The sequence below is a fragment of the Homo sapiens genome, chromosome 1, assembly GCF_000001405.40.
Source record: "Homo sapiens chromosome 1, GRCh38.p14 Primary Assembly".
Taxonomy (NCBI): Eukaryota; Metazoa; Chordata; class Mammalia; order Primates; family Hominidae; genus Homo; species Homo sapiens.
Window position 1 is genome coordinate 12,797,259 of NC_000001.11, and position 12,968 is coordinate 12,810,226.

At 44.0% G+C, this 12,968-nt stretch overlaps 1 annotated feature.

Annotated features, from left to right (window-relative positions):
* Positions 1,292-1,793: an enhancer, noted in NCBI's record as "H3K4me1 hESC enhancer chr1:12858699-12859200 (GRCh37/hg19 assembly coordinates)". NCBI's record gives its function as "activates a minimal SCP1, AML or CMV promoter by ChIP-STARR-seq in naive H9 embryonic stem cells {active_cell/tissue: H9 hESC(naive)}" and the evidence as "EXISTENCE:reporter gene assay evidence [ECO:0000049][PMID:30033119]".

Genomic DNA, 12,968 nt, shown 5'->3' on the forward strand with positions numbered 1-12,968 from the left:
CCCCAGGCTGTTTTTCCAAGATCTGCCCCCTGTAGGGGAGACCATGGAGTCTGATTGCTGGGCCTGGGAACCACGAACCACTCCTGGAGGCCCCCCTCTTGGCAGGGTCATGAGCCAGGCCTGTGCTCCATGTCCCTGAGGCAGCCAGCTGTGCCACCCACACCCTCTCATGGCAAAATGGAACCTGGACCCAGGTCTGGAGTCTCCACCACAGCCTCTACCTCACTGCCCACTGCCTGCTGTTAGCCTGCAAGCTCCTGGATGATAGTACAGTTGGGGCTGGTTAAACCACACCCAGGAGCATTGGGTTTGTTTGTGCGGGGTTGGTCAGAGCTGCTGTGAACCTGCATCTCACCTGTCCTCTCTGTGGGGAAACACAGAGAGAGGGCACAGCCAAGGCTGCGTACACTTCGGAGCTGATGGGAGCCTGGGACAAGAGGGAGTCCTGGTCCTCTCGAGTTGGCAGGGCAGCAGCTCCAAAGGTGCAACTGAATCTGCCCAGGTCACAGTTACCAACTGAGGTCCCCCAGTGCTCTTGAGGGCCCAGGAGATCCCCACTTCTCCTTCAGCTTCAGGGTGTCTGTTCCCACTGCCTGGTCTCTCATGGCGCCTGCCCTAATTTTGGGGTGTGGTTGTGGTCGAGCCCGGATGCTGTCACAGCCCAGGTGGGTCTGTGAACATTTTGGTCAGTGCATATACAGCATCCCATGGCTGCCTTGAACCCTCTGGACTTTGGGCCCTGATGAGTATAGAAGGGGGGCTGAGGGGGGATTGCGGACAGATCAGCGCTGGTCTTTGGATGCTCCTTGGTACAAGTGACTTGGGCAACATGGTTGGTGGTGGGAGGGAGGCAGAATCTTGGACAGGAAGGTGAGAGTCACTGGTGAGGCTCCACCTTCTGACCAAGGAGGGCCTGAAGCCCGTAGGCTAGGCCACCAGTCCTACGGACCAGAATGGGAACATATGTTGCCTTTTCTGTGCCTGCTCATGGCCACCTATGACCCAATGAGCACATACTTTTCTCCAGTCTGATGCTGGAAAAACCCCAGACTCAGGGAGAACATCAGGAAGACCAGTGGCAGAGAGGAACTACCCACTACTGGGATGATTTTCCTGCAGAGACAAGCAACCCACTCTGGGTCTTTTTCTCTGCTGAGAGCTGTAGAGATGATGAGATGACTTTCCTGCAGAGAGCAGCAACCCACTCCAGGGCCTCCTCTCTACTGAGAGCAGTGGTGATGATGGAATAACCTGCCAGGAGAGAGGGGTCACCCACTCCAGCGCCTCCTGTCTGCTCAGAGCTGAACACTCATCAGGACACCCTGGCTGCAGAAAGAAGTTACCCACTGTGGGTCTCTGAGCTGTTCTATTGCTCAGTAAAGCTCCTCTTTATCTCACTCACCCTCCACTTGTCTGCATAATTCATTCTTCCTGGTCACAGAACAAGAACTTGGGACCCGCCTAATGGTGGGACTAAAAGAGCAATAACACAAACAAAGCTGAAACACAGCCCTTGCTCACCAAGTTGTAGGTGAAGAGAAAAAGAGAAGAGCTACTAATCTTCCAGGAGCCCAGACATGGGAGCTTCCTGAGCCAGGGCTGTTACTCCTTTCTGGGGGTTCTGCAGTTACTGGCATTTCCAAGCTTTCAGTATTGGTGTCACTGTGTATTCCAGTGACAACCATGGAAGCTGCTTGTGCTGTGCCTGGTTCATTTGCAGCCTTGACGAAATCTGGCACCCGTGCTGGCACCTGGAGCTGCCTGCCCCACTGCTGCAGCAGCAGCCAGTGACTGTCCAAAGTGGCCAGACCCCCTGCTCACTCACACACCCCTCACTGCTCTACCCCTGACCCGCCCTTAATAGGCATGTGCTCCAGGCCTAAAACATGAGTCAAGCATAGTCTACTAGGCTGCATGGGCAGAACGAACCCAGTGATCCCCATCAAAACTCTGGCAAAGGTGCCCCCAGCCACAGAGGTTTCTGGCCAGAAAAGTCACATTCCAAGGATTCCAGAAGAGAAAATTACTTAAACACAAAGAAAGACAATAAGAAAAGGATGGAAGAGAGAAGTCTCTAAACAACCAAAAAAACAAGAAATGAAATGGGAGTACTAAGCCTTTATCAATAAAAACAATGAATATAATTTATCTCACTTCTGCAAGTGAAAGGCATAGGGTCTTTGAATGAGTAAAAAAATAAGACCCTACTATATGCTGTTTTCCAGAAACTCACTTCACCTATAAGGATACATGTAGATGGAAAGTGAAGGGGTAGAATAAAGTATTCCATGCAACTGGAAACCAAAAAACAGCACGAGCATCTGTACTTATGTCAGGTAAAATAGATGCCAAATCTCAGAACGCACTCAGGTAAAACAGAATACAAATCTAAGCTTGTAAAATAATGGACTACACTTACACAAACTATGCCTAGAAAGAACATACATCAAAATAATAGAAGCCAAAAATGACAAATCCATATGCAACATCATATTGAATGAAGAAATGTTGAAAGTATTCCCACTAAGAACCAGAAGAAGACAAAAATGCTCACTTTATCCACTTGTAATCAACATAGGACTGAAAGTTTTTGTCAGAGCAATCTGGTAAGCAAAAGAAATAAAGGACATTTAAATTGGAAAGAAGGAAGTGAAACTACCTGTGTTTGCCAATGATATGATCGTATGTGCTTAGAAAACCTGAAATATTCCACCAAAAGACTCGTAGATGAGATAAATGAATTCACTTAAGTCTCAGGTCCAAAATCTGTATGTACAAATCAGTAACACCCTTTTATACCAACAACAAGCAAGCTGAGAATCAAATGAAGAACTCCATCCCTTTACAATAGTTGCAAAACAACAACAAAAACTGACAATAACAAAAACAACCTAGGAATACACTTAACCATTAGGTACAGGATCTCTACAAGGAGAACTACAAGACACTGCTGAAAAAAATCATAGATGACAAAAAAGGAGAAAAACGTCCCATGCTGATGGATTGACAGACACAATATCGTGAAAATGACCACACTGCCCAAAGCAATCTAAAAATTGCGAACATCAAACATCAATCTAAAAATTGCATACACCAAAATACAAACATCATTTCCACAGGATTACAAAAAGAATCCTAAAATTCATTTGGAGCCAAAAAAGAGGCTAAAGAGCCAAAGCAATCCTAAGCAAAATGAACAAATGTGGAGGCATCACATTACCTGACTTCAATTTATATGGTAAGGCAATAGTAAGCAAAACTGCATGGTGCCAGTATGAAGGTCAAGACATAGACCAATGGAACAGAATAGAGAATCCAGAAATAAAGCCATATACTTACAACCCAGTGGTAGGACTGCTGTTTATCAGTTTGTGCTGAGTGATGTCCTTTGGAGAAATGGGGCCAAAGTTACTGGATTTTTCCCCCAAGAAAAACCAGAGTGAATTGTAATATCCGGTGTGATTTTTAGACTCTGACTATTGCCATAGTGATTAGGTCATCTCCAGGTACCCAGAGACTCAATCACCAACCAGTGTCCACATTCTTGTCATCGCTGCAAGAAAGAGTTTAGGAAGTAGGCAGAATGAAGCAAAAGGCAAGAAGTGTCTATTGCAAAGCAAAGGTAGATACTCAAGAGAGGGCCAATTCAGGAGAGTGAGTTGTGTACAAGGGAGTTTGGGTTTCTAATTTTATAGGATCTCTAAGGAGAGGTTGAAATAATCGTTAGGATTTTAAGAAAAAATGGTGAAGTTTTCTTAGAACTGAAGTGTCACCTATTATTTATTTATGTATTTATTTATTTATTTATTTATGTTTTGAGATGGAGTTTCGCTCTTGTTGCCCAGGCTGGAGTGCAATGATCTTGGCTTACTGCAACCTCTGCCTGCTGGGTTCAACCAATTCTCCTGCCTCAGCCTCTGGAGTAGCTGGGATTACAGACATCTGCCACCACACTCGGCTAATTTTGTATTTTTAGTAGAGACGAGATTTCTCCATGTTGGTCAGGATGGTCTCAAACTCCCGACCTCAGGTGATCCACCCACCTTGGGCTCCCAAAGTGTTGGGATTACAGGTATGAGCCACTGGGCCTGGCTAGGTTTCACCTGTTTTTGTACTAAATATGGGCATTCTCAGAACCGTCCTGGCGCTGGTGTGTGATTTACTGTCATAATGGGTGTATAATTAGGCCTGGGGTAGGGCAAGGGTCAAACCCAGTGCCATGTCTGACCAATTCAGTGTCAGCCAGCTTAGCCCCGTCCTGCTTGTTTGGGTCTTATTGGTCAAGGCTTATCCTTATTCTTGTAGCTAATTTTACAAGCTCTTCTCTTGCTGCTGTATGAAATCACTGCTTGATATTTTCATGCTTCTCCTGTGACCAGCCAGCTTTCCTATTTTATGGGTATTTCTTTTCTTTTCCCTTCCCTTCCCTTCCCTTTGCTTCCCCTCCCCTCCCCTCCCCTCCCCTGTCCTGTCTGTCTTTCTTTCTTTCTTTCTTTCTTTCTTTCTTTCTTTCTTTCTTTCTTTCTTTCTTTCTTTCTTTCTTTCTTTCTTTCTTTCTTTCTTTCTTTCTTTCTTTCCCTCCCTTCCTTCCTTCCTTCCTTCCTTCCTTCCTTCCTTCCTTCCTTCCTTCCTTCCTTCCTTCCTTTCTTTCTTTCTCTCTCTCTCTCTCTCTCTCTTTCTTTCTTTCTTTCTGTCTTTCTTCTTTCCACTTTAAGTTCTGGGATACATGTGCAGAATGTGCAGTTTTGTTACATACGTATACACATGCCATGGTGGTTTGCTGCACCCATCAACCCGTCATCTACATTAGGTATTTCTCCTAATGCTACCCCTCTCCTAGTGCTCCACACCCTGAGAGGCCCTGATGTGTGATGTTCCCCTATCTGTGTCCATGAGTTCTCATTGTTCAACTCCCACTTATGAGTGAGAACATGAGGTGTTTTGGTTTACTGTTCCCGTGTTAGTTTGCTGAGAATGATGGTTTCTAGCTTCATCCATGTCCCTGCAAAGGAAATGAACTTATTTTTTATGGTTGCATAGTATTCCATGATGTATATGTGCCACATTTGCTTTATCCAGTCTATCATTGATGGGCATTTGGGTTGGTTCCAAGTCTTTGCTGTTGTGAATAGTGCTGCAGTAAACATACTTGTGCATGTGTCTTTATAGTAGAAGGATTTATAATCCTTTGGATATATACCCAGTAAAGGGATTGCTGGATCAAATGGTATTTCTGGTTCTAGATCCTTGAGGAATTGCCACACTGTCTTCCACAATGGTTGAACTAATTTACACTCCCACCAACAGTGTCAAAGCATTCCTATTTCTCCACATCCTTTCCAGCATCTGTTGTTTCCTGACTTTTTAATGATCACCATTCTAACTGGCCTGAGATGGTATCTCACTGTTGTTTTGATTTGCATTAGAGAAGTGCAAATCAAATGACCAGTTATGATGAGCATTTTTTCATATGTCTGTTGGCCGGATAAACGTTTTATTTTTGAGAATTGCCTGTTAGTATCCTTCACCCACTTTTTGGCAGGGTTGTTTGTTTTTTTCTTGTAAATTTGTTTAAGTTCCTTGTAGGTTCTGGATATTAGTCATTTCTCTGATGGATATATTGCAAAATTTTTCTCCCATTCTATAGGTTGCCTGTTGACTCTGATGACAGTTTCTTTTGCTGTGCAAAAGCTCTTTATTTTAATTAGATCCCATTTGTCAATTTTGGCTTTTGTTGCCATTGCTTTTGGTGTTTTAGCCATGAAGTCTTTGCTCATGCCTATGTCCTGAATGGTATTGCCTACGTTTTCTTCTATGGTTTTTATGGTTTTAGGTCTTACATTTAAATCTTTAATCCATCTTGAGTTAATTTTTGTATAAGGTGAAAGGAAGGGGTTCAGTTTCAGTTTTCTGCATATGGCTAGCCAGTTTTCCCAACACCATTTATTAAATAGGGAATCCTTTCCCCATTGGTTGTTTTTGTCAGGTTTGTCAAGGATCAGATGGTTGTAGATGTGTGGCATTATTTCTGAGGCCTCTGTTCTGTTCCATTGGTCTACATATCTGTTTTGATAACTGTACCATGTTGTTTTGGTTACTGTAGCCTTGTCGTATAGTTTGAAGTCAGGTAGCATGATGCCTCCAGCTTTGTTCTTTTTGCTTAGGATTGTGTTGTGTATACAGGTTCTTTTTTGCTTCCATATGAAGTTTTAAGTAGTTTTTCTAATTCTGTGAAGAAACTCAATGATACCTTGATGGGGATAGCATTGAATCTATAAATTACTTTGGGCATTATGGCCATTTTCACAATATTGATTCTTCCTACCCATGAGCATGGAATGTTTTTCCATTTGTTTGTATCCTCTTTTATTTCATTGAGCAGTGGTTTGTAGTTCTTCTTCACATCCCTTGTAAGTTGTATTCCTATGTATTTTATTTTATTTTAGCAATTGTGAATGGGAGTTCACTCATGATTGGTTCTCTGTTTGTCTATTGTTGATGTATAGGAATGCTCGTGATTTTTGCACATTGATTTTGTATCCTGAGACTTTGTTGAAGTTGCTTATCAGCTTTAGGAGATTTTGGGCTGAGACGATGGGGTTTTCTAAATATACAATCATGTCATCTGCAAACAGAGACAATTTGACTTCCTCTCTTCCTATTTGAATACTCTATTTCTTTCTCTTGCCTGATTGCCCTGGCCAGAACTTCCAATACTATGTTGAATAGGAGTGGTGAGAGAGGGCATCCATGCAGTGTGCCGGTTTTCCAAGGGAATGCTTGTAGCTTTTGCCCATTCAGTATGATATTGGCTGTGGCTTTGTCATAAATGGCTCTTATTATTTTTACATACATTCCATCAACACCTAGTTTATCTAGAGTTTTTAGCCTGAAAGGGTGTTGAATTTTATCAAAGGCCTTTTCTGCACATATTGAAATAATCATGTGGTTTTTGTCATTGGTTCTGTTTATGTGATGGATTACGTTTATTGATTTGCATAAGTGGAACCAGCCTTGCATGCCAGGGATGAAGCCAACTTGATCTTGGTGGATAAGCTTTTTGATGTGCTGCTGGATTCGGTTTGCCAGTATTTTATTGAGGATTTTTGCATCGATGTTCATCAGGAATATTGGCCTGAAATTTCCTTTTTTTTGTTGTGTCTCTGCCAGGTTTTGGTATCAGGATGATGCTGGCCTCATAAAAATGAGTTAGGGAGGAGACCCTCTTTTTCTATTGTTTGGAATAGTTTCAGAGGAATGGTAGAATTTGACTGTGAATTCTTCTGGTCCTGGACTTTGTTTTGTTGGTAGGCTATTAATTATTGCCTCAATTTCAGAATTTGTTATTGGTCTCTTTAGGCATTTGGCTTCTTCCTGGTTTAGTCTTGGGAGCATCTATGTGTCCAGGAATTTACACATTTCTTCTAGATTTTCTAACTTATTTGCATAGAGGTGTTTATAGATTCTCAGATGGTAGTTTGTATTTCTCTGGGATCAGTGGTGATATCCCCTTTACCATTTTTTATTGTGTCTGTTTGATTCTTCTCTCTTTTCTTCTTAATTTATCTGGCTAGTGGTCTATTTTGTTGATCTTTTCCTAAAAACCAGCTCCTGGATTCATTGATTTTTTGAAGGGTTTTTCATGTCTCTATCTCTTTCAGTTGTGCTCTGATCTTAGTTATTTCTTGTCTTCTGATAGCTTCTGAATTTGTTTGCTCTTGCTTCTCTAGTTCTTTTAATTGCAATGTCAATTTTAGGTCTTTCCTCCTTTCTCCTATGGGCATTTAGTGCTATAAATTTCCCTCTAAACACAGCTTTAGCTGTGTCCCAGAGATTCTGGTACATTGTGTCTTTGTTCTCATTGTTTTCAAAGAACTTATTTATTTCTGCCTTAAATTTGTTATTTGCCCAGTTGTCATTCAGAATCAGCTTGTTCAGTTTTCATGTAGTTGTGCAGTTTTGAGTAAGTTTCTTAATCCTGAGTACTAATTTGATTGCACTTTGGTCTGAGATACTGTTTGTTATGATTTCCATTCTTTCACATTTGCTGAGGAGTGTTTTACTTCCAATTATGTGGTCAATTTTAGAATAAGTGTGATATGGTGCTGAGAAAAATGTATATTCTGTTGATTTGGGGTGGAGAGTTTTGTAGATGTCTGTTAGGTCTGTTTGGTCCAGAGCTGCGTTCAAGTCCTGAATATCGTTGTTAATTTTCTGTCTCATTGATCTGTCTAATATTGACAGGGGTGTTTCTTTAATTAGAAGGTAGAATAGTCATTAGATATTCCAGGAAAGCAGAGGATTTCAGAGACTTGAAATTACCACCCCTTTCTTCCTTCTTTGGGTTTCTTTGGAAGAATCTTGGACAAGTCACTCTGACCGGGACTTTTGCCATTTTCTGGCTCTTATATTGAGTTTTGTTTTACCTTGTGTTCCTTTGCTGAGTTCTTATTTTATCTTTGCAGTTTTCCGTCTTCCTGAGACCAATCACTGGTATTCCTATGTGATGCCCATAAGGTTTTTTTCGTCTATTTTATAAAAATTTTATTAATAAAAATTGTATCTGTTCATGGGGTACAGTATGATGTTTTGATATATTCATACTCTACAATGTGGAATAGTGAAATCAAGCTATTTGGCATTCCTACCACTTCACATTCTTACTCTTTTTATGGGGAGACATTTAAAATTTACTGTCTCAGTATTTTCAATTATATAATATATTATTACTAACTATAGTCACCTTACTATGCTATAGATATTCAACTCACTCCTCCTTTCTAACTGAAACTCTATTTTTTAAAACATTATGCCAACACATATCTGGACACATTTGGCTTTTGGGATCCTACCCTCTCCTCTGAGATAGGAGAACAGTGCAGTGTGCCCTGTGGCCAGACCCAGAATGATCCTGATGGAATTAGAAAAGAAACTGCACCTCTTTCCTCTTCCAGATCTGATGTTGACCTTAGTTGAAGGTCTGGGATTTGAAAACTGCTGGGATTGGAATCCTGGCTCTCACCTTACTCCCACCTACACCAGTAGGATATATAGTCCATGGGAAGCATCTGGGAACATCTATCGTGTGAGTCCTAAGAATGAATAAATTGTATACACCTTTACAATTTTATTGAACAGGGTTATTTCATGAGTGTTATATTGTTCTTGGGTTTTTTTCTCTTAATAACATAAATGCCTTGAATTTAAAATGTCCTACAAAGACCTTGAGTCGTTGTCTTCATGCTGGCTTTTCACTTACTCTTCCCAACTTCGCTGAGTCAAGACCAAACTCTAGGAGGTGCTGTCAACCCATCGCTTTTCCTCAGGCCTCACACCCACTCCTGAAACCATAAGAGCAAGTCACATTGACTCTACCTCCAGGATGTCCCCAGGCTGTCTGCAGCCACACCAGGTGATGCCAAGACCTCCTGCCTGGGCATTGCAGTGGCCACCTTATTGTTGCCCCTGCCTCCTGGTTACCTCTCTCAGGGATCAAAGTCCTCCTGGCCATAATGGGGAACTGGAAAACAGGCCTCAGGTGGCCTCACCACCCCAGTCCAAAACTGCCAATGACTCCTGTGCCACCCCTGCCTCTGACTGCACCTCTCCAGCCTCATCTGCCTGTGCCACTTCACGACATGCCACTTTCAACCCTGGTCTTCTCATTCTGTCTGTTCCCCCTAAGTCCATGAGTTAGAGGCTGTGTTCATTTATGTGCGTTCTGAGTTGGTTTCCACTTTAGGAAAAATGCTGGGCGAATGGGGCAGGGGGTGGCTGATGTCTCTAGGTCTCAGGTGAGTAGAAGGGAGGCTTTTATCAACTGGGTTCTGTGAGAGAACCCCAGGCCCAGAGGGCATCTCTGCAATGACTTCATGGTATGTACATATATGTGTATGTGGTGTGAGCACTTAGAAAGTCACAACCCTCCAGGATGGAGCTGGCCTCATATAGATTAAGATGTTTTGCACTTGGCAGATAAATGTAAAATACCTCATGTCCCTGGCTGGGCAAATCCCCCAGGAGTCCAGCAAGAAGACATGGGATCTGTGGACAGGAGGCCACTGTGTGAAACCTCTCATTTGAGTATCATTTTAAAAGTTGCACTTGAGACCCTGAGTGCCCTATGTCCTTCCCACTCACCAAAGAACCCCAGCTGAGCCAGCCCTGACTCCAGACACAAGAGCCCAGGGAGGAGCTGGGAGAGAAGGACACCCGCTGTGACCTCAGGGCATGGAAGGAGCTCTGACCTTTCTGTTGATGATGCCTTCCCCACTCCCAAGTGCTTCTGGCCCTGAAGCTTCCAGTGACCCCTGCGTTCCATCCATGCCCTCCTCTCTTACCTCCAACCCTGCTTCTTCTAAAGTCCCATGCATTTGTCTGCATGTGAGTGCCCCAGTCTCAGGCTCTGGCAGTGGCTAAGAGGCTCGGGGTTCCTGTGCCTGTCTGGAGGCAACCTCACTCTATGTGGACCCACGTGGGTTCTTGGATTTCTTTCTTCACTGGGTCCCCTGCAAGTATACAGTAGATGCATCAACTCTAGAAGAGCAAATGGTGATGAGTGAAGACCCAGAACCGTCTCAGGCATGCACATGGAAAGAGAGAGAGCGGTCCCTGGAAGCACAGGTCTGGGGGTGGTTCCTGGGCACTTCTGTCTCCTCTAATAAAAGAGGTCAGTGACTTTGGCCACAGAATACACATCCACTTCTCATGGGTTCATATCCAAAGAACAAACTCCTTCAGACTCGCTGGTCCATGCACTCGAGATCCCCAGGGTATCTTGAGTTATTATGTCAAAAGGAGAGAGAAACCAGCTAACACTAGTCCTAATACTTATACGAATACCAAGAGGGATGTTTTCTTCTTGCTGTTCCAGGGAATGTGCTGAGTTAACACCTTTTTTCTTTTTATTGGAGCCGCTGTGGCAGGGAAGACAGTGGTGAGGGGCTTCCTTTGAGTAAAAAGCAGGTAAATTCAGCCCCTGCTTGCTCCACTGTCTGCCCCTCCAGGGCCTCTGTGTCCTGATGCAGAGTCCAGCCTGTTCTCACCAGGCTCGCATTCCTTATGCCAAGAGACCCACCAAAAAAGAAAGTCCCAAGAAACAGGAAGGAACACCACCAGCAAGAGACCTCACACTCACAGACCTCAGAGATATTCATGGCCTGAGGGGCACAAAGGAGAGTGTGTTGGGAGCGGATCCCCACTTAGAAAGAAGCAAGACAGTGCCCCAAGGCCTGGAAGATGTCAGCTGCTTCCTCTGTGCTGTGCTGTGGGGAAGGCCATCACCGTTTTAACGCCTCTTGGTGAGTTTTTCCAAGGAAATAAAGCACTTGAATTCTTAGTATTTTGAATTACGGTGCACTTAATAAATATTAACTTCTTTTTGTTTTGTTTTAAGATGGAGTCTGACTGTGTCACCCAGGCTGGAGTGCAAAGGCAAAATCTCGGCTCACTGCTACCTCTGGCTCCCTGGTTCAAGAGATTCTTCTGCCTCAGCCTCCTGAGTAGCTGGGATTACAGCCACCTGCCATCATGCCAACCTAATTTTTCTACTTTTGTGGAGATGGGGTTTCACTATGTTGGCTAGGCTGGTATGAATTGCTGACACCAGGTGATCTGCCCTCCTTGGCCTCCCAAGTGCTGGGATTATGGGCTGAGCCACCGCACCTGGACAATATTAACTTTTTTCTTTCATTCTCCTGTACATTTCTAATTGGCAGTGAGAGTAGTGAATGTTCTGACAAAGAGTGATGAAAGGATTTGGGATAACCATCATTTTCCACATGGATTATGAAGATGGCTTTGCAGGACATGGGGCTCCCCCCTGTAATCTCAGCACTTTGGGAGCTCAAATTGGGAGGATGACTTGAGTACAGGCATTCAAGACCAGCCTGGGCAACAGTGAGACCTCGTCTCTACAAAAGATAAACAAAATGAGCCAGGCATGGTGGCACACACCTGCGTTTCCAGCAAATTGGGAGGCTGACATGGGAGGATTGCTTCAGCCTGAGAGGCTGAGCCTGCAGTGAGCTGAGATTGCACCACTGCACACCAGTCTTAGAAACAGAGTGAGGCCCTGTCTTTAAAAAGAAGAAACAAAAAAAAAAAAAAAGAAAAAGAAAAGAAAAGATGGCTGTTCGTGTTTTATCCTGCACAGGCATTCTTTTTCTGATCTGCACTGCAGTTCTGAGCCAGGTATATTCTGCTGAGCTCATTTTCCAGCTGCCTTGTGTCTTGTTTCAGCAGCACCCAGAATACCAGGATCTTTCTCAGCATCTTTCTCAGCAGCACCCAGAATACCAGGTGGCACGACCCAGGCACTCAGTGGAAGTTTTCTTGTTGTTGTTCTTGTTGTTGTTGTTTCTTGAGGTAGAGTTTCGCTCCTGTTGCCCACCCAGCCTGGGGTGCAATGGCTCTAGCTCAACTCGCCGCAACCTCGGCTTCCCGGGTTCAAGTGATTATCCTGGAACCACGCCTGACTAATAGGAAGGGGGAAGCACTGGGCGTTGAGAGTGTGAAATGTACCAAAATCTTCTCTGTTTTTTCCCCAGAGTCTCCCCCTTCAGCACCACCTGACAATCCTCAGCCCTGGACAATGTGAGATTTTTTTGACCGAGGATCACTGTGCTCCTTCAGGATCCACCAGAAAGTGCTGGTTAGCCTGATAGGCCCTGGTTTGACTTACATCTAGCAAGACCTTCATCTGGTTTGCAGGAGTAGATAGGGGGTCACTTGGATGACAGGGACTCCAGTCCAGACCCCATTCTCCCTCATTCCCTCCTGCAAAGTTCAATCCTCACAGTCCTCTGAGGCTGTGGCAAGTGCAGAAACAGAACTGCGCCTATCCAAAGTGCCTCCCTTCCCCTGGACTCATGCCAAGGCTTCCTCCCTCTGACCTGTCCCTTGTCTTTGCATCTAGGGTGGATGCTTGCCACTGACCCTCTCTCCCCAGGTTTCCCTGCTAGACTGAC